At 39.3% G+C, this 23211-nt stretch overlaps 1 long non-coding RNA gene across 6 annotated transcripts in view, besides 1 other annotated feature; it reads right to left on the reverse strand.

Moving 5' to 3' along the window:
* LINC01278 (long intergenic non-protein coding RNA 1278) overlaps nt 1–23211 on the reverse strand; it is a 134538-nt gene that overhangs the window by 43899 nt on the left and 67428 nt on the right. The window lies entirely within an intron of this gene.
* Nucleotides 21923–22423: an enhancer, noted in NCBI's record as "H3K4me1 hESC enhancer chrX:62712259-62712759 (GRCh37/hg19 assembly coordinates)". NCBI's record gives its function as "activates a minimal SCP1, AML or CMV promoter by ChIP-STARR-seq in primed H9 embryonic stem cells {active_cell/tissue: H9 hESC(primed)}" and the evidence as "EXISTENCE:reporter gene assay evidence [ECO:0000049][PMID:30033119]".

Genomic DNA, 23211 nt, shown 5'->3' on the forward strand with positions numbered 1-23211 from the left:
CCCCCACAAGATCCTTTTACACAACCAAAACTTTACAGAGAATATAAAAAGTGATCTTTATCATTCCTAGCCTAGCAAAACATCTTCCAAAAGGAAAAAAAAAAAAACTTATTTAAAAGTTAACCGCTGGACAATGTGGAGAAGAAAAAAGGATGCCTGGGGGAAGAGTCTCCTATTCTTATGCAACTGGTTCCTCCACCCGGAAGAAAAGCTTAACTGTTGTGGGATGGAGTTAGACTCCCTGGCTGGGAGATGGGGAGACTTCATAGACATGTGGCAGGGAATGCCAGCAAGCCACCTGGGGTGCTTTGGGCCATGTGTTCCAGCCCCAGCAAGGAGGGGAGGGTGGTGAGGAGCCACTGCTTCCCAGTCTGTCCTGAAAAAGTAAGGAAAGAGCAATGGAAAGGCCCCTGACTCCTGCGAGCAACGGGGTGGGGGCAGTTTGCCTTACCCTCAGACGTCTGAGGATGAAAAGGCTTAGAAATGAGAGGGAAAGAGATTTATTGGTTTGCATCTCCCCTTCTCAAGCCCCACATTGGGCACCAAAGCTGTTGTAGAGCTTTCTCTTTAGTTCAGCTAAAAGCTGGGTTCTTGTCACATGACCATGAGAGATTAGGCTGGAAGACACTTTGAAAAGTGAGAAAAATGAAATTTATTGGGCAAAAATGGAAACAGGAACTTTCAGCAGAGTGAGAGTCCTGCTAGTATATGCTTCCCACTTTGCAGATTGAATATCCGGTTCCCCCCAGGAAGAGGAGGGGCCAGGTTCCTCCCTGCTGCAAATGGTGCAAACTTCCTGAGGCTCCAACCCAGTGTGCATTCCTCCCAGTGCACAGGGTGATCAGAGGTTCTCTGGGGACCCTTTTATACTTGCCTGTCTCACTTTAACATAAGAAAAATATTATAATTTAAATTCTTTGCATTTCATAAGTTTTTAGATTGTTTTCCTCAGTGATTCTTATCTTCAGGTTCAAGAAATTAAATATACTTTAAAATTGTTTGAGTCTTTGTTGCAGACAAGATTGCATGGACTCCTTTCTTGCTGCTTCTCTCCCAAATGTATATTGAGAAACTTTTGCATTAACATGAGGAACAACAACAACAACAACAAACAAAATAAAACAAAAACAAGAAACAAAAAACTCTGAGAAGTGTAAAGAGGAAGGTCAACTGGTTAGGGACCCATGTACTGAAATTGCAACATAATTGGGTGTTTTATAACCTCCAACCAAAAGAAGATGACTCAAGACTAGCATTTTCTGACATCTCAATAAGCAATAGTAGGTTGCAATCTGAGGAGGCTCAACTCTCCACCCAATAAAGCAAATTACCAGCTGACAACAATAGTAATAGCAATAGGACTGGCAAAAAAAAGAAATTCATCAAAACCACCACTGATAATAAGTAGTCAGTGGAAGTGTTCTCTCCAACTGGGACTGAAACTCCCTCCCTCACTGATATGCACCAGGTAGACAGGTGGTATCAGCAAAGAGGACCTTGCCACAACAAGTGACCTGGGCTGAAAAGCCTCTTGTCACAGGCGAGAGATTCCCTTCTCACATCAAGAGAAAATTGGCAACAAGGCTGATTTGGAAAAGGGAATACTGGCCCTATAAGTGGCCTAGTGTAGGAAATCTCTTCATCCCCCCATACCAGAGACTCTTTTCCTTCACCTAGAGATACCTGACAGCCTGAACTGTGGAAACTCTTTCCACCCCCACACGTAGTAGCAAACCAGTTTATAAAAGTATGCCAGAATCTGTATGATACACCTAAACAGAATCATATATTGGTAAAATTAAAGATCTAAACATGACCATGTGTTTCCTATCATAATATCCCAAATATCTATAATAAAATTGAAAATTACCCATCACACCAAATAGCAGAAAAATAACAACTTGTATGACAAAAAACAATCAACACACTCCAAGACTGACAGAAATTGGATGCTAGAATTAATTGGCAAGGACTTTAAATCAGCCTTTAAAAAATGTTTTTAAAAGCAATTACAAGCTATTTTGAGAGAACAAAAAATTAAAATACTTCAGAAAATAAATAGATGTTAAAAAGAACCAAATGTAAACTATGGAACTGAAAAATACAATAAGAGAAATAAAAATAAACTTTATTGGACAGACAAAATAGAAGAGGTAGAATGATAAAAGATAGAAACAGTGATCTTGAAGAAAGATCAACAAAGTAGATCAAATCTTTTTTTTTTTGAGACAGGGTATTACTCTATTGCCCAGACTGAAGTGTAATGGTGCAATCTCAGCTCACTGCAACCTCTGCCTTTCAGGTTGAAGTGATCCTCCCACCTTTGCCCCCCAAGAAGCTGGGACTACAAGCATGAGCCACCGTGTCTGGCTATTTTTTGTAGAGGCAGAATTTCACAATGTTGCCCAGGCTGGTCTTAAACTCCTGAGGTTAAGTGATCCCCCACTTCAGACTTCCAAAGTACTAGGGTTACAGGCATGAGCCATCACACCTGGCCACATATATAAAATCTTAAAAACAGAGGCCAAGGTGGGTGGATCACTTGAGGTCAGCAGTTTGAGACCAGCCTGGCCAACATGGTGAAACCCATTTCTACTAAAAATACAAAAATTAGCCAGGCATGGTGGTGGGCATCTGTAATCCCAACTACTTGGCTGGCTGAGGCAGGAGAATTGCTTGAACCTGGGAGGCAGAGGTTGCAGTGAGCCAAAATCACACCATTGCACTTCAGCTGGGTGACAAGAGTGAAACTCCCTCTCAAAAACACAAAAACAAAACAAAAGACACACACACACACACACACACACACACAGACACACACAACCAGAAACAAATATAATAAAAGGAGAAACTCAAGGACCTTTGGGAAAATAACAAAGACACAACATTTAAACCATCAGTGGCCCAAAAAGAGAGGAAAAAAATTGGGGTTGAAAAATTACTGAAAGAAATAATGGCTGAAAACTCCACAACTTAGAGAAGACACAAACTTACAGATACAAGAAAGTGAGAGAACCCTACAGAAGCAAAAGTAAGCTGAAGGAAATCCTCACAAAAACATAACATAATTAAACTCATAAAAAGTAAAGGCAAAAAATATCTTCAAAATAATTCAAAAAAGTGACAGAACTACCAAATGGTAAATCTGTAAAAATGTAGAAAATCTGAATAAAGTGTTTTCTCTACACTAATTTTAAAAAGGTTTTCTGTCTCCAAGCTGAGTAAGTCCACATGAACATTAAGTAAGAAAAAGTATAAAAGAAAAAAATCTAAGCATAAAAGTGCTATCCATACTTTCAAAATCCTTGGATTCTCTACCTTTAAATTTTATTCAGATTTTGTTCCAAAACAATACAAATGGTTTGAATGTTGACTCCATAAACGTTTACAACCTCTGAAAACTGTTTTAAAAGCCTGAAAGAGCAATGACTTAACCCTTACAGAATAGCCATGGATTTTGAACAAATAGTCAATGTTTACTATGTAACAGTTGCTTTCCCCATTACCCTTTTCTTGGAAGAAATAAACAGCTTCCTTCTGGTTTTACCAGAATGCATCCATTATCTCTTTCCACAATGAAACTAACATAGTTACATAGAGATTACAGATGCACATAAGTCAACAACTCATGCATAATCTTAAAAATGCTAAATTTCAACACAACAATGAAGATAGAAAATATCATCTAAGGTTCTGTCTTATCTCTCTAGCCAAGTAGAGTTACTTTGATAAATTTTGAATTTATTTTTGGGCACGTTTTTACTTATTTTCCAGGAAAACATTCTTAACATGGACAAACTTGAGCACTGCAATATGCTTTGATGTTAATTTTTAAATCATCAGTATACTCTTCTAAAATTGAAAGTCTTACAAATAGGCCTCTTTATCCTTCAGAGAGCCATTTCATCAATACTGAGCTTTTACAAATCAGATTAGAGGTAGAGGTAATTAGCAAAACTACCATTTTGTTCAGTGCCTTACAGATATGATGGGATTAGTTTCAGATCATTACAATGAAGGGAATATCAAAATAAAGTGAGTTACACAAGGTTTCCCAGTGCACATAAACATTATGTTTACATTATACCATAGTATATTAAGAGTGCAATAGAATTATGTCTAAAAGACAATGTATACACTGTAATTTAAAAATGCTTTGTTGCTAATGATTATCTAAGCCTTTAGTTGAGTCCCAATCTTTTTGCTGGTGGAGAGTCTTATACTGATGTTGATGGCTGCTGACTAATCAGCATGGTGGCTATTGAAAATTAGAGTGTCTGTGACGAGGAAATTAAAGAAAGAAAAATAAAATTAAAAAGAAAAAAGAAATAAGCTTTCCTGTATTAGGCTGACTTATCCCAGAGGCAGCAACAGGCACAGCCCAGACCCAAGAAGAGCCTAGATAAACACTATCTGAGAAGCTAAGACACAAAAGAATGTGTTCTAGAGACTCCCAGCACTCCCTCAACATAAGGAAGAAAAAAAAATTTCCTTTCTTTTATAGTATGAGTTTATAAAGATTCCTGATATCTGTAACTAGTAACTTCAAGTATTCCATTTTATCTAAGAAGTACAATGAAAGTCATGAGCTGTCCGAGCAGGCCTGAGCTACAGCCACCTGGGCGCCATAGTGAAGGTTATGAGATAAGCCAGTGCAAGGCTTGTTTGAGCAAGCCTAGATAACAGCCGTCTAGGCTTCATAGATAACAGCCATCTAGGATGTATAGCAACAGTCATGTGTAATCCTGAGTTATGCACCTGTCACAATTTAATTAACTGCCTTTGTTCTGCCTCTGTATCCTTGCTTTTGTGCCAGTACACTTTGAGCCACTGTAAGCTTATTTCAGGCCAGCCCACCCCCTTTTTGAAGTGTGTATAAAGGTTAAGTGCTGTCTTTGTTCTAAGGCCCAGTCCCAAGATGTTAAACCACTAGATCTGAGTGCACTCAATACATCCTCCCACTTTACCCCGAGGTCTCTCTAGTCCTCCTGATTCCCACAACATCTGTGGCAATTTTTCAAAATAAGACACCAATAAAATTTGCCACATAAACTGACTCTTCCTTTCATGAAATGTATCTCCATAGACAGTGATGTTGTTTGATAGCATTTTACCCACAGCAGAACTTCTTTCAAAATTAGAGTCAATCCTCTCAAAATCTGCCCCTGCTTTATCAAACAAGTTTATGTAATATTCTAAATCATTTGTTGTAATCTCAGCAATGTCTGCAGAATCTTCACCAGAAGTAAATTCTAAATCAAGAAACCACTTTATGTGTTCATCCATAAGAAACAATTTCTCATTCATCAAAGTTTTATCATGAGATTGCAGTAATTCAGTCACATCTTCAGGCTCCACTTCTAATTATAGTTATCCTGCTATTGCTACTACATCTTCAGTTACTTCTCCCACTGAAGTCTTGAACTCCTCAAAATCATCTATGAGGGTTGAAATCAGCAACTTCCGAACTCCTCTTAATGTTGATATTTTGATCTCCTCCCTTGAATCAAGAATGTCCTTAATGGGCCGGGTGTGGTGGCTCATGTCTGTAATCCTAGCAGTTTGGGAGGCCGAGGAAGGTGGATCACCTGAGGTCAGGGGTTCATATGTTCTTCTCGACATATGAAAAGGCTCAAGCAACCACACTATAGGAGTGGAAGACTTAAATAGCCCACTGGCAGTGTTAGATAGATCATTGAGGAAGAAAACTTACAAAGAAATACTGGAATTGTACTCAATATGTGACCTATTGAACCTAAGAGACATTAACAAATACTCCAACCACTAAATGCAAATTACACATTTTTCTCAACTGCACACAGAACATATTCTATAATCAGCCACATGCTTGGCCACAGAGCACATCTCAATAAATTAAAAAAAAATGAATTCATACCAAACGCTTTCAGACTACAGTGAAAAAAAATAGAAATCAATATCAAGATCCCGCAAAACTACAAAAGTACATAGAAATTAAAAAAATTCTAAATTAAGGTAAAAATTAAAAATTATTTGAAATGAATGAAAATGGAGACACAATACACCAAAATTGTTGGAATGTAGCTAAAGCAGTGTGAAGAGGAAAGTTTACAGTGCTAAATACAAACATCAAGAAGTTAGAAAGGTCTCAAATGAACAATCTAGGATCACACCTAGAGGAACTTAAAAGGAAAAAAAAAAGAAATTTACCCCAAAGCTAACAGAAAGAAGAAATAACTATAATCTGACAACAACGGAATGAAATCAAGGTGTAAAAAGCTATACAAAAAATCAATAAAAACAATATTTGGTTCTTTGAAAGAGTAAGTAAGATTGATAGACTGATAGCTAGATTAACAAAAAATAAATAAATAAAAGATCCGAATAAGCACAATCAGGAATGACAAAGATGACACTCTAATCCCAAAGAAATATAAAAGATCCTTAGAGACTATTATGAACACTTAAATGCACACAAATTAAAATATCTTGAGGAAATGGATAACAATTCCTCAAAACAAAGAACCTCCCAAGAATGAACCAGGAAGAAAGTGAAAACCTGAAGAGACCAATAATGGGTTTCAAAATTGAATGAGAAAAACAATCAAACAAACAAACAAAACAATGAGAACAACAACAAAAAAACAGGTGCCAACCAAAAAAGGTCTGGAACAGATGGATTCACAGCAGAGTTCTAGCAGACATACAAAGAACTGTTATCAGTTTTACTGAAACTATTCCAAAAAATTGAGGAGGAGGAGGAACTCCTCCTTAGCTCTTTCTATGAATCCAGCATCATCCTGATATCAAAATTTCACAGAGACACAACAAAAAATAAAAACTTTAAGCCAACATTCTCGATGAACATAGATGCAAAAATCCTCAATAAAATGCTAACAAAATGTTAACCAAATCTTTCAGCACATCAAAAATTAATTCACTATGATCAAGTAGGCTTTAGTCCTGGGATGCAATGTTGGTTCAACATATGCAAATCAATAAATGTGATTCACCACATAAACTGAATTAAAAACAAAAACCACATGATCATCTCAATAGACGTAGAAAAAGCATTCAATAAACTCCAACATCCCTTCATGATAAAATCCCTTAATAAATAAAGAAACATACCTGAAAATTATAAGAGCCATATAGGACAAACCCACAGCCAATATTATACTAAATGGGCAAAAGCTGAAATCATACGCCTTGAAAACTGGAACAAGACAAAACTGGAACAAGATGCTTACTCCCACCATTCCTATTCAACATAGTACTGGAAGTCCTTGACAGAGCAATCGAACAAGAGAAAGAAATAAAAGGCATCCAAATAGGAAAAGAAGTTAAACTCTCTCTCTCTTTGCTGACAATATGATTACATACCTAGAAAACCCTAAAGACTCTGCCAAAAGGCTCCTAGAGCCACAAAATGACTTCAGTAGAGTTTCAGGATACAAAATTAAAGCATAAAAATCAGTACCGTTACTATGCACTAATAGTACTCTAGCTGAGAGCCAATTCAAGAATGTCACTTCAATACCATTTACAATAGCCGCAAAGAAAATGAAATACCTGGGGTGCGGGGGTGTTCCAAGATGGCCGAAGAGGAACAGCTCCAGTCTGCAGCTCCCAGTGTGATCGACACAGAAGATGGGTGATTTCTGCATTTCCAATTGAGGTACCGGGTTCATCTCATTGGGACTGGTTGGACTGTGGGTGCAGCCCACGGAGGGTGAGCTGAAGCAGGGAGGGGCATTGCCTAAGCTAGGAAGCACAAGTGGTCGGGGGATTTCCCTTTCCTAGCCAAGGGGAGCCATGGGAGACTACCTGGAAAAACGGGACATTCCCCACCCAAAAACTACACTTTTCCCAAGGTCTCAGCAACCAGCAGACACGGTGATCCTCTCCCATGCCTCGCTTGGCAGGTCACACACCCACGGAGCCTTGCTCACTGCTAGCACAGCAGTCTGAGATCAATCTTCAAGGCGGCAGCCTGGCTGGCGGAGGGGCGTCTGCCATTGCTGAGGCTTGAGTAGGTAAACAAAGCAGCTGGGAAGCTCAAACTGGGTGGAGCCCACCGCAGCTCAACAAGACCTACTGCCTCTAGACTCGACCTCTGTGGGCAGGGCATAGCTGAACAAAAGGCAGCAGACAACTTCTGCAGACTTAAACGTCCCTGTCTAACAGCTCTGAAGAGAGCAGTGGTTCTCCCAGCACAGCGTTTGAGCTCTGAGAATGGACAGACTGCCTCCTTAAGTGGGTCCCTGAAGCCCATGTAGCCTAACTGGGAGACACCTCCCAGTAGGGGCCAACAGAAACCTCATATAGGTGGCTGCCTCTCTGGGATGAAGCTTCCAGAGGAAGGATCAGGCAGCAATACTTGCTGTTCTGCATTATTTGCTGTTCTACAGCCTCCGCTGGTGATACCCAGGCAAATGGGGTCTGGAGTGGAACTCCAGCAAACTCCAACAGACCTGCAGCTGAGAGACACGACTGTTAGAAGGAAAACTAACAAACAGAAAGGTATAGCATCAACATCAACAAAAAGTTCATCTACACCAAAACCCCATCTGTAGGTCACCAACATCAAAGACCAAAGGTAGATAAATCACAAAGATAGGGGGACACCAGAGGAGAAAAGCTGAAAATTCTAAAAATCAGAGTGCCTCTTGTCCCCCAAAGGATTGCAGCGCCTCACCAGCAACAGAACAAAGCTGGACGGAGAATGATTTTGACAAGTTGACAGAAGGAGGCTTCAGAAGGTCAGTAATAACAAACTTCTCCAAGCTAAAGGAGGATTTTTTTTTTTTTTTTAAGAAGGAGTCTTGCTCTGTCGCCCAGGCTGGAGTGCAGTGGCGCGATCTCAGCTCACTGCAAGCTCCGCCTCCCGGGATCATGCCATTCTCCTGCCTCAACCTCCCAAGTGGCTGGGACTACAGGTGCCCGCCACCACACCCAGCTAATTTTTTGTATTTTTAGTAGAGATGGGGTTTCACCGTGTTAGCCAGGATGGTCTTGATCTCCTGACCTCATGATCTACCCACCTTGGCCTCCCAAAGTGCTGGGATTACAGGCGTGAGCCACCATGCCCGGCCGTTAAAGGAGGATGTTTGAAGCCATTGCAAGGAAGCTAAAAACCTAGAGAAAAGATTAGACGAATGGCTAACTAGAAGGTAGAGAAGACCTTAAATGACATGATGGAGCTGAAAACCATAGCATGAGAACTTCGTGACGCATGCACAAGCTTCAATAGAAGATTTTATCAAGTGTAAGAAAGGGTATCAGTGATTAAAGATCAAATTAATAAAATAAAGTGAGAAGACAAGGTTAGAGAAAAAAAAGTAAAAATAAATGAAGAAAGCCACCAAGAAATATGGGACTATGTGAAAAGAACAAATCTATGTCTGATCGGTGTACCTGAAAGTGATGTGGAGAATAGAACCAAGTTGGAAAACACTCTGCAGGATATTATCCAGGAAAACTTCCCCAACCTAGCAAGGCAGGCCCAAGTTCAAATTCAGGAAATACAGAGAACACCACAAAGATACTCCTAGAGAAGAGCAACCCCAAGACACATAATTGTCAGATTTACTAAGGTTGAAATGAAGGAAAAAGTGTTAAGGACAGCCAGAGAGAAAGGTAGAGTTACATACAAAGGGAAGCCCATCAGACTGACAGCAGATCTCTCAGCAGAAACCCTACAAGCCAGAAGAGAGTGGGGGCCAATATTTGACATTCTTAAAGAAAAGAATTTTCAATGCAGAATTTCATGTCCAGTCAAACTAAGCTTCATAACCGAAGGAGAAATAAAATCCTTCACAGACGAGCAAATGCTGAGAGATTTTGTCACCACCAGGCCTGCCTTAAAAGAGCTCTTCAAGGAAGCACTAAACATGGAAAGAAACAACCGGTACCAGCCACTGCAAAAACATGCCAAATTGTAAAGACCATTGATGCAATGAAGAATCTGCATCAATTAATGGGCAAAATAAACAGCTAACATCATAATGACAGGATCAAATTCACACATAACAGTATTAACCTTAAATATAAATAAGCTAAATGCCCCAATTAAAACACACAGACTGGCAAATTGGATAGAGTCAAGACCCATCAGTGTACTGTATTCAGGAGACCCATCTCACATGCAAAGACACACATAGGCTCAAAATAAAGGGATGGAGGAAAATCCACCAAGCAAACGGAAAACAAAAAAATACAGGGGTTGCAATCCTAGCCTCTGATAAAACAGACTCTAAACCAACACAGATCAAAAGAGACAAAGAAGGCCATTACATAATGGTAAAGGGATTAATTCAACAAGAAGAGCTAACTATCCTAAATATATATGCACCCAATACAGGAGCACCCAGATTCATAAAGGAAGTACTTAGAGACCTACAAAGAGACTTAGACTCCCACACAATCATAATGGGAGACTTTAACACCCCACTGTTAATATTAGACAGATCAAGAAGACAGAAGGTTAATAAGGATATCCAGGGCCTGTACTCAGTGCTGCAACAAGCAGACCTAATAGATATCTACAGAACTTGCCACCCCAAATCAACAGAATATACATTCTTCTCAGCACCACATCGCACTTACTCTAAAATTGACCACATAATTGGAAGTAAAACACTCCTCAGCAAATGTAAAAGAAAAGAAATCACAACAAACTGTCTCTCAGACCACAGTGCAATCAAATTAGAACTCAGGATTAAGAAACTCACTTAAAACTGCACAACTACATGGAAACCTAACAACTTGCTCCTGTGTGACTACTGGATAAATAACGAAATGAAGGCAGAAATAAAGATGTTCTTTGAAACCAATGAGAACAAAGACACAACATACCAGAATCTCTAGGACACATTTAAAGCAGTCTGTAGAGGGAAATTTATAGCACTAAATGCCCACAAGAGAAAGCAGGAAAGATCTAAAATCGACACCCTAACATCACAATTAAAAGAACTAGAGAAGCAAGGGCAAATACATTCAAAAGCTAGCAGAAGGCAAGAAATAACTAAGATCAGAGCAGAACTGAAGGAGATAGAGACACAAAAAAACCCTTCAAAAAAATCAATGAATCCATGAGCTGGTTTTCTGAAAAGATCAACAAAATTGATAGACTGCTAGCAAGACTAACAGAGAAGAAAAGAGAGAAGAATCAAATAGATGTAATAAAAAATGATAAAGGGGATATTACAACTGATCCCACAGAAATATGAACTACCATCAGAGAATACTATAAACACCTCTATGTAAATAAACTAGAGAATCTAGAAGAAATGGATAAATTCCTGGACACACACTTTCCCAAGACTAAACCAGGAGGAAGTTCAATCTCTGAATAGACCAAAAACAGCCTCTGAAATTAAGGCAATAAATAATAGTCTACCAACCAAAAAAGTCCAGGACCACATGGATTCATAGCAGAATTCTACCAGATGTACAAAGAGGAGTTGGTACCATTCCTTCTAAAAAATCCCAATCAATAGAAAAAGAGGGAATCCTCCCTAACTCATTTTATGAGGCCAACATCATCCTGATAACAAAACCTGGCAGAGACACAACAGAAAAGAGATTTTTAGACCAATATCCCAGATGAACATCAATGCGAAAATCCTCAATAAAATACTGGCAAACTGAATCCAGCAGCACATCAAAAAGCTTATCCACCATGATCAAGTCGGCTTCATCCCTGGGATGCAAGGCTGGTTCAATATGCCCAAATCAATAAATGTAATCCATCACGTAAACAGAACCAATGACAAAAAGCACATGATTATCTCAATAGATGCAGAAAAGGCCTTTGACAAAATTCAACAGCCCTTCATGCCAAAAACTCTCAATAAACTAGGTATTGATGGGACATATATCAAAATAATAAGATCTATTTATGACAAACCCACAGCCAATATCATACCGAATGGGAAAAAACCAGAAGCATTGCCTTTCAAAACTGGCACAAGACAAGAATACCCTCTCTCACCACTTCTATTCAACAGAGTGTTGGAAGCTCTGGCCAGGGCAATCAGGCAGGAGAAGAAATAAAGGGTATTCAATTAGGAAATGAGGAAGTCAAATTGTCCCTGTTTGCAGATGACATGACTGTATATTTAGAAAACCCTATCGTCGCAGCCCCAAATCTCCTTAAGCTGATAAGCAAATTCAGCAAAGTCTCAGGATACAAAATTAATGTACAAAAATCACAAGCATTCCCATACACCATTAACAGACAGAGAGCCAAACCATGAGTGAACTCCCATTCACAATTGCTTCAAAGAGAATAAAATACCTAGGAATCCAACTTACAAGGGATGTGAAGGACCTCTTCAAGGAGAACTACAAACCACTGCTCAATGCAATAAAAGAGGACACAAACAAATGGAAGAATATTCCATGCTCATGGATAGGAAGAATCAATATCGTGAAAATGGCCATACTGCCCAAAGTAATTTGTAGATTCAATGTCATCCCCATCAAGCTACCAATTACTTTCTTTACAGAATTGGAAAAAACTAATTTAAATTTCATATGGATCCAAAAAAGAGCCTGCATTGCCAAGACAATCCTAAGGAAAAAGAACAAAGCTGGAGCCATCACGCTACTGGACTTCAAAGTATACTACAAGGCTACAGTAACCAAAACAGCATGGTACTGGTACCAAAACAGAGATATAGACCACTGGAACAGAACAGAGCCCTCAGAAATAATGCCACACATCTACAACCATCTGATCTTTGACAAACCTGATAAACATAAGAAATGGGGAGAGGATTACCTATTTAATAAATTGTGCTGGGAAAACTGGCGAGCCATATGTAGAAAGCTAAAACTGGATCCCTTCCTTACACCTTATACAAAAATTAATTCAAGATGGATTAAAGACTTAAATGTTAGACCTAAAACCATAAAAGCCCTAGAAGAAAACTTAGGCAATACCATTCAGGACACAGGCATGGGCAAGGACTTCATGACTAAAACACCAAAAGCAATGGCAACAAAAGCCAAAATAGACTAATGGTATCTAATGAAACTAAAGAGCTTCTGCACAGGAAAAGAAACTACCATCAGAATGAACAGGCAACCTATAAAATGGGAGAAAAGTGTTGCAATCTACCTATCTGACAAAGGGCTAATATCCAGAATCTACAATGAACTCAAACAAATTTAAAAGAAAAAAACAAACAACCACATCAAAAAGTGGGCAAAGGATATGAACAGACACTTTTCAAAAGAAGAAATTTATGCAGCCAACACACACATGAAAAAATGCTCATCATCACTGGTCATCAGAGAAATGCAAATCAAAACCACAATGAGATACCATCTCTTACCAGTTAGAATGGCAATCATTAAAAAGTCAGGAAACCACAGATGCTGGAGAGGATGTGGAGAAATAGGAATGCTTTTACACTGTTGGTGGGAGTGTAAATTGGTTCAACCATTTTGGAAGACAGTGTGGTGATTCCTCAAGGATCTAGAACTAGAATTACCATTTGATCCAGTAATCCTATTACTGGGTGTATACCCAAAGGATTATAAATCATGCTACTATAAAGACACATGCACACCTATGTTTACTGCGGCACTACTCACAACAGCAAAGACTTGGAACCAACCCAAACGTCCATCAATGATAGACTGGATTAAGAAAATGTGGCTCATATATACCGTGGAAAACTATGTAGCCATAAGAAAGGATGAGTTCGTGTCCTTTGCAGGGACATGGATGAAGCTGGAAACCATCATTCTCAGCAAACTATCACAAGGACAGAAAACCAAACACCGCATGTTCTCACTCATAGGTCGGAATTGAGCAATGAGATCACTTGGACACAGGGCAGGGAACATCACAGACTGGGGCCTGTCAGGGGGTGTGTGGCTGGAGGAGGGATAGCATTAGGAGAAATGTAAATGATGAGTTGATGGGTGCAGCAAAGCAACATGGCACATGTATACCTATGGAACAACCTGCACGTTATGCACATGTACCCTAGAACTGAAAGCATAATAAAACAAAAAATATTTATTTCTAAAAATCCACACAAACAACAAAAAAAGAAATACCTAGGAATACAGCTAACCAAGGAGGTGAAAGATTACTACAAAAAGAATTACAAAACACTGCTGAAAGAAATTAGAGATGATATAAATAAACAAACACTTCATGCTCATGTTCAGAAGACTTAATATTATTAAAATGGCCATAGCACCTAAAGCAATTGACAGATTCAATGCTATCCCTATTAAACTACCAACAACATTTTTTCACAGAATTAGAAAAAAAGACTTCTAAAATTCATATGGAACCAAAAAAAGCATCTGGATAACCAAAGCAACTCAAAGCAAAAAAAAAAAAAAAAAAAAAAAAGCTGGAGCAGCACTTTTTCTGACTTCAAACTATACTAGAAGGCTACAGTAATCAAAACAGCATTGTACTGGTACAAAAAACAAAAACAAAGAAAGACACATACACCAAGGGAAGAGAAAACGGAACTGAGATGTAAAGGTGCACACCTACCACCACCTAATCTTCAACAAACTTAAGAAAAACAAGCAATAGGAAAAAGACTACCTATTCAATAAATGGTGCTGTGAGAACTGGCTATCCATATGCAGAAGAATGAAACTGGACCATTACCTACCACCATATACAAAAATTAGCTTGAGAAGGATTAAGGACCTAAATGTAAGACCTCAACCTATGAAAATCCTGGAAGAAAACCTAGAAAATGCCCTTCTTGATATTGGCCTTGGCAACATATTTATGGCTAAGTCCTCAAAATAAATTGCAACAAAAATAAAAATTGATTAAATAAGACTTAATTAATCTAAAGAGCTTCTGCATAGCAAAAGAAACTATCAAGGAAGTAAACAGACAACCTATAGAAGGGGAGAAAATACAAACTATGCAGCCAACAAAGGTCTAATATGCAGAATCTATAAGGAATTTAAACAAATCAATAAGCAAAAAACCACTCCATTTAAAATTGGGCAAGGGACATGAACGGACATTTCTGAAAAAAAAGACATACAAGTGGCCAACAAACATATGAAAATATATCATCATTAATCATAAGAGAATTGCAAATCAAACCATAATGATATGCCATCTCAAACCAGTCAGAATTTATTTTGTGGAAAAATAAAAACATAATACGTTGGCAAGGCTGTGGAGAAAGGGGGACACATACCTTTTTGGTGTGAATGTAAATTAATTTAGCCATTGAGTAGAGCACTTTGGAGATTTCTCAAACAACCAAGATTTGAACCACCATTCCACTCAGCAATTGCATTACTGGGTATATATCCAAAGGAAAATAAATCATTTTACCCAAAGGATGCATGCACCTGTATGTTCGTCACAGCTCTATCCACAATAGCAGAAATATGGAATCAACCCAGGTGCTCATCAATGGTGGATTGTATAAGGAAAACGTAATCCATATACACCATGAAATACTACACAGTCATAAAAAAGAATGAAATCATTTCCTTTGCAGCAACATGGATGCAACTGGAGGCCATTATGCTAAGCAAACTAATGCAGAAACAGAAAACTAAGTACCACATGTTATTACTTATAAGTGAGAGCTAAACACTGGGTACACATGAACATAAAGATGGGAACAATAAACACTGAGAACTACTAGGGTGTGAGAGAAGGGGGAGGGGGAGGGCTGAACAACTACCTTTTGGATAGTATGTTCTCTACCTTGGTGACGGGTTCAGTCGTATCCCAAACCTCAGCATCACACAATAAACCTTTGTAATAAACCTGCACATGTTCCCACTGGTTCTAAAATAAAAGTTGAAAAAAATGATAATTATCCTCCTTTTTGTATTAAGATTATTTTGATTTCAAATGACAGGAAACCCAATCACAAGTGAGCTAAGTAAAAATACTTTTTTTTTTTTTTTTAGACAGAGTCTTGCTCTGTCGCGCAGGCTGGAGTGCAGTGGCCTGATCTTAGCTCACTGCAACCTCTGTCTCCCAGGTTCAAGCAATTCTCATGCCTCAGCCTCCCAAGTAGTTGGGACTATAGGCACATGCTACCATGTCCAGCTAATTTTTGTATTTTTAGTAGAGATGGGGTTGCGCCATGTTGGCCAGGCTGGTCTTGAACTCCTGACCTCAAGTGATTCACCTGTCTCAGCCTCCCAAAGTGCTGGGATTGCAGGCGTGAGCCCCCTTGCCTGGCCAAAAAGATCAAATTTTGTCTCCCTAATTGCAAAGTCCCAGGGAAGACTTGCCTCTGTCATGGCTTGATCAAAGAGATAAAGTGATTACACTTAAACCAAACTGAGAATAAGATTAGTAGTTACGGTACAAGTTTGAAATTTTATGTCACATATATGAGGTCTTGGGTCTCCAATGATTTGCCCTTTACTCACATAGAGAACACTGGACATTCTTACTGTTCCACGGAATCTTATCTGCAGGCCGAAGTCAGTTAATTATTATCTTGTATGGTTCACATCTTGTTTACTGCAAATACCTCACAAATCTATCTTATCATGCCCTCTTTACAAATTGGGATTGGCAGAAATGCGGATAAATATCCTCATTCTGAGTGAACACACTATGGCTGTCTAGTTGAACAAATGATCCTTGTAGCCAGTTTGAACAAGGTGCCATCTCTCTGAGGTATGCTAACGTTCTGATATAATAATATTTTTGGATAAGAAAAATTTCAAATCAAACTGACAAACTTGCTTTTTTTTTTTCACTCTTGTTGCTCAGGCTGGAGTGCAATGGTGCGATCTTGGCTCACTGTAACCTCCGCCTACAAGGTTCAAGTTATTTTCCTGCCTCAGCCTCCTGAGTAGCTGGGATTACAGGCATGTGCCACCACGCCTAGCTAATTTTTGTATTTTTAGTAGAGACGGGGTTTCTCCATGTTGGTCAGGCTGGTCTCAAACTCCCTACTTCAGGTGATTAGCCTGCCTTGGCCTCCCAAAGTGCTGGGATTACAGGCGCGAGCCACTGTGCCCAGTCCGGAATTGCTTTTTTTTTTGAGAATAAAATTTTGAAAGCTGGAAAAAGAATTTCCAATATATGCTACAACTTGCAGAGGAAACAGATATGGTTGTGGTGCAAGCAGTAGCCATGGGTCCAGACCCCTTTATCATCCTTATCAAACTTCCCCAGTCACTCAGATTCTTTTCTGAATTCTATGATGAGCACTGCACTCAAGAGGAGCACTGTGTTAATTAGCAATGGATCTTAATTGTAGGAGGAGTCAGAAAGCACCTTATTTGTGGCTATAAGACAGACAGACAGACTGTCCACTAAATGATGAAAGTGGTGAGGAGAAAAATGAAATCAGATATATAGTTTATTACTTTATAATGTATGATTTAGTTACAGTGGCATAACTTCAGCTAACAGCGTAAAAATAAATGTTGTCCTCCGGTTTGCCCTAGATTCAATAATTAGAATACATTTAACAATTGTACCTGTAATGTAAAACATTGCATTTTTTGCCTTTATACTTGGCCAAACTAGAGATATTTCATTTTCAGTTGACACTGACAGAATAAGGTTAATAAGTTACATAAATAGGACAAAGATATAAAATTCGTAGAGGATTATGAAACATCACAGAAAATTGAATATTAATTTGAAACGTTATTTGATATGGTGTTTTGATGTCATCACAGCAGCTACGTGGCACTTAGAATCTGTGCATCTGGGGGAGGGAGAGCGCGCTGATTGTGGAACTTACCATTGGAACTCAGTGCTGCCCTGTCCCAACAGAAAGCAACACCAGGCAGAACTCACATTGTGTCCACAGAGAAAGCAATTAAACCAGCTCTAGAAATCATCAATCCCAGCAGTAGGAACCTAAGTTCCAGCAAGCCTCTCACCATGGGATAAAATCCTCTGGAACCCTAAACAAACTGGAAAGGCAGTCTAGGAAATAATAATTGCAATTCTTGGGCAAGTCCTGGTTCTGTGCTTGGCTCAGAGCCAGTGGACTTGAGGGGAATATGACCTAGTGGGACACCTCTTGGGTTGCCAAGGTAGTGCTTGTTCCACCCCCTCCTTAATCCCAGGAAGCACAAATAGCAGCTCCAGGAGAAACTCCTTCCCTCTGCTTGAGGGGAGAGGGAAGAGTAAAGAGGACTTTGTCTTGCAACTTGGATACCAGTTCAGCCACAGTAGGACAGGGCAGCAAGCAGAGTCCTGAGGCACCTGCCTCAGGCCAAAGGGGAGTCCACTGCCTTGAATGGAGAATTCCAGGCCTGGCAGCATTCATCACAAGCTGAAGGTAGAGCCTTTGGGCCTTTTTGGTGCCAGCTCAGCTGCAGTAGAAAGAGCACTGGCTAGATTCCTAAGATTTCTGACTGTAGAACCTGGCTCCCTGATGGCATCTCTGGACCTGACTGGGGCTGCGGGGAACTTGCCAAACTGAATGGAAAGACACAAACCTGGCTGGCTCTGCCAACTTCTGATTGCAGAGGCCTAGGACCTTGTGTGAACAAGGCAGTGGTTACCCGAGGCCTTGAGCGAGACCAAGTACCATGCTGGCTTCAGGTCTGACCCATCACACAAGTACCATGCTGGCTTCAGGTGTGACCCATCACAGTCCCAGTGGTGCGGACCACAGTAGTGCTTGTGTCACCCCTCATCCAGCTCCAGGTGGCTAATCACAGAGGGAGAAAGAAAGAGAGAAAGAGAGAAAGAGAGAGAGAGAGAGAGAGACAGAGAGACAGAGAGAGAGAGAGAGAGAGAGAGAGAGACTCTATTTATTTGGGAGAAAGTAAGGGAAGAGAACAAGAGTCCATGCCTGGTAATCCAAAGAATTCTTCTGAATCTTATCTAAGACTACTGAGGCAATACCTCTTCAAGTCTGTAAGAGCCACAGCTTAACTGGGCTTGTGGGGCCTCCTAATGTAGATATGGCTGCAGAAAACAAAAGCTTAGATAACAACACCCAAGTCCCTTTGAATACCTGAAAAGCCTTCCCAAGATGGATGGGTACAAACAAGCCCAGACTGTAAAGAGTACAATAAATACTTAACTCTTTAATGTCCAGACACTGATGAACATCCATAAGACCATCCAGGAAAACATGACCTCACCAAATGAACTAAACAAAGGACCAGAAACTAATCCTGGAGAGACAGAGATAGGTTACCTTTCAGACTGAGATTTCAAAATAGCTGTTTTGAAGATTCTCAACTAAATCCAAGATAAAATAGAGAAGAAATTAAGAATCCTAATAGATAAGTTTAACAGAGATTAAAATAATTAAAAAGAATTAAGCAGAATTTTGAGATGAAAAAATGCAATTGACATACTGAAGAATATGTCAGAGTCTCTCACCAGCAGAACTGACCAAGGAGAAAGAAGAATTTAGTGAGCTTCAAGATAGGCTATTTGAAAATATAGTCAGGGGAGACAAAAAAAGAATGAAGCACACCTATGAGATCTAGAAAATAGCCTCAAAAAAGCACTTCTAAGAGTTATTGGCCTTAAAGAGGTCATTGAGAAAGAGATAGGGGTAGAAAGTTTACACAAATAGATAATAAGAGATAACTTCCCCAAACTAGAGAAAGATATTAATATACAAGTGCAAAAAGGTTATAGGACACCAAGCAGATTTAATGCAAAGAAGACTACATCAAGGCATTTAATAATCAAACTCCCAAAAATCAAGGATAAAAAAAATGATATTAAAAGCAGCAAGATAAAAGAAACAAGTAATATACAAAAACAAGTAATATACAATGCAGCTCCAATACGTCTGGCAGTAGACTTTTCAGTGGAAACCTTATAGGCCAAGAGAGAGTGGCATGCCATATGTAATGTGCTGAAGAAAAACAAAAAAACAAAAAACCTTTTTATCCAAAAGTATTTTATCCACTGAGAATATCCATGAAACATGAAGGAGAAATACTGTCCCAGCCATAGAAAGTAGAAGGATTTCATTAACACCAAGTTTGTCCTACAAGAAATGCTAAAGAGTTTTTCATTCTGAAAGAGAACAAAATTAATGCGCAATCAGAAATCATCTCACAGTGTAAAAATTACTGGTAATAGTAATTACTGGTAATAGTAAGTGCACAGAAAAATACAGAATATTATAACACTGTAATTATGGCATGTAAACTACTTACATCTTAGTAGAAAGACTAAAAAATCAAAATAATAAAAACTTTTCAAGAGAGATAGTACAACAAAATATAAATGGAAACAACACAAAGTTAACAAGTGGAAGAAAAAAGTTAAAGGGTAGAGTTTTTATTAATTTTCTTTTTTCTGGTTTGCTTGTTTGTTGAGGCAATCAGTGTTGAGTTGTCATCAGTTTTAAGTAACAGGTTGTAAGACACTATTACCATGAGGTAACCTCAAATTAAAAAACATACGGTATATTAAAAAATAGAGCAAGAAATTAAAATAAATCACCAAAGAAAATCACCTTCACTAAAGAAAGACAGGAAGGAAGGAAGGAAAGAAGGTAAAGAAGACCACAAAACAACCAGGAAACAAATAACAAAATGGTAAGAGTAAGTCCTTACTTGTCAAAAATCTTAAATGTAAATGTGCTCACCTCTCCAATGAGAATACATAGAGTGGCTAAATGGATAAATAAACAAGACCCAATGATCCCTTGCCTACAAGAAACACACTTTACATATAAAAAACACACAGAGACTGAAAATAAAGGGATGAAAAAATATTCCATGGAAATGGAAACCAAAAAAGAGCACAAATTGCCATACTTAAGAAGAAAAAACTATAAGAGACAAAGAAGGTCACTCTACAATGAGAAAAGGGTCAATTAACTCAGTAAGAGAATATAAGAATTATAAATATACATGCACCCAACACAGGAGCACCTGGTTATATAAAGAAAATATTATTACGCCTAAAGAGAGATAGACTCCAATACAATAGCTGGAGATTTCAACAGCTTATTTTCAGCATTCTGTCATAAAGACAGAAAATCAAAGAAACATTGGACTTAATCTGCACTACAGACTAAATGGACATAATAGATATTTATAGAACATTGGATTTGTGGGCACAGAAAACACATTCTTCTTCTCAGCAGATGTAACATTCTCATGGCTAGAACATAGGTTGCAAAACAATTCTTAAAGAATTAAAAAAATTGAAATTATATGAAATATCTTCTCTGATCAACATGAAATAAAACCAGAAATCAATACCAAGAGGAATTCTGGAAACTATAAAAACACATGGAAATTAAACAATATGTTCCTGAGTGACTGGTGGGTCAATGAATAAATTAAGAAGAAAAATGAACAATTTCTTAAAACCAGTGATAATGATAACACAAGATATCAAAACGTATGGGATACAGTGAAAACAATACAAAGAAGAAAATATATAGCTATAAGTGCCTATACCAAAAAAGTAGAAAAACTGTAAATAACCTAATGAGGTGTCTTAAAGAACTAGGAAAGCAAGAACAATGAAAACTCAAAATTAATAGAAGAAAAAAAGAAATAATAAGGACCAGAGCAGAAATATAATTGAAATGAATAAAAGATCAATGAAATGAAAATTGGATTCTAGAAAAGATAAACAAAATTGACAAACCTTTACCCAGACCCAGAAAAAGAGAGAGAAGGTCCAAATAAATAAAATCAGTGATGAAAAAAAGACATTAGGGGGCGGTTCCAAGATGGTCGAATAGGAACAGCTCCAGTCTACAGCTCCCAGCGTGAGCAACGCAGAAGGACGGGTGGTTTCTTCATTTCCAACTGAGTTACCAGGTTCGTGTGACTGGGGCGTGTCGGACAGTGGGTGCAGGGCAGTGGGTGCAGCCCACTTCGAGAGCCGAAGCAGGGTGAGGCATCAGCTCACCTGGGAAGTGCAAGGGGTCAGGGAATTCCCTTTCCCAGCCAAGGGAAGCCTTGACAGACAGCACCTGGAAAATCTGGTCACTCCCACCCAAATACTGCGCTTTCCCAAGGGTCTTAGCAAACAGCACACCAGGAGATTATAACCCGCGGCTGGCTCGGAGGGTCCCACACCCACAGAGCCTCGCTCATTGCTAGCACAGCAGTCTGAGATCGAACTGCAAGGTGGCAGCGAGGCTGGGGGAGGGGCGCCCACCATTGCCGAGGCTTGAGTAGGTAAACAAAGCAGCCGGGAAGCTCAAACTGGGTGGAGCCCACTGTAGCTCAAGGAGGCCCAACTGCCTCTGTAGACTCCACCTATGGGGCAGGGAATAGCTGCTCGAAAGGCAGCAGAAACTTCTGCAGACTTAAACGTCCCTGCCTGACAGCTTTGAAGAGAGTAGTGGTTCTCCCAGCCGGAGTTTGAGATCTGAGAGCAAACAGACTGCCTCCTCAAGTGGGTCCCTGACCCCTGAGTAGCTTAACTGGGAGGCACCACCCAGTAGGGGCAGACTGACACCTCACATGGCCGGGTACACCTCTGAGACGAAGCTTCCAGAGGAACGATCAGGCAGCAACATTTGCTGTTCGGCAACATTCACTGTTCTGCAACATTCGCTGTTCTGCAGCCTCTGCTGCTGATAACCAGGAAAACAGGGTCTAGAGTGGACCTCTAGCAAACTCCAACAGACCTGCAGCTGAGGGTCCTGACTGTTAGAAGGAAAACTGAAAAACAGAAAGGACATCCACACCAAAACCCCAACTGTACGTTACCATAATCAAAGACCAAAGGTAGATAAAACCACAAAGATGGGGAAAAAACAGAGCAGAAAAGCTGAAAATTCTAAAAATCAGAGTACCTCTCCGCCTCCAAAGAAATGCAGCTCCTCGACAGCAACGGAACAAAGCTGGAGGGAGAATGACTTTGACAAGTGGAGAGAAGAAGGCTTCAGAAGATCAAACTTCTCTGAGCTAAAGGAGGAAGTTCAAACCCATCACAAAGAAGCTAAAAACCTTGAAAAAAAGATTAAACGAATGGCTAACTACAATAACCAGTGTAGAAAAGTCCTTAAATGACCTGATGGAGCTGAAAACCATGGCACGAGAACTATGTGACAAATGCACAAGCTTCAGTAGCCGATTCGATCAACTGGAAGAAAGGGTATCAGTGATTGAAGATCAAATGAATGAAATTAAGCGAGAAGAGAAGTTTAGAGAAAAAAGAGTAAAAAGAAACGAACAAAGCCTCCAAAAAATATGGGACTATGTGAAAAGACCAAACCTACGTCTGACTGGTATACCTGAAAGTGACAGGGAGAATGGAAAAAAGTTGGAAAACACTGC

The sequence above is a fragment of the Homo sapiens genome, chromosome X (assembly GCF_000001405.40).
Source record: "Homo sapiens chromosome X, GRCh38.p14 Primary Assembly".
NCBI lineage: Eukaryota > Metazoa > Chordata > Mammalia > Primates > Hominidae > Homo > Homo sapiens.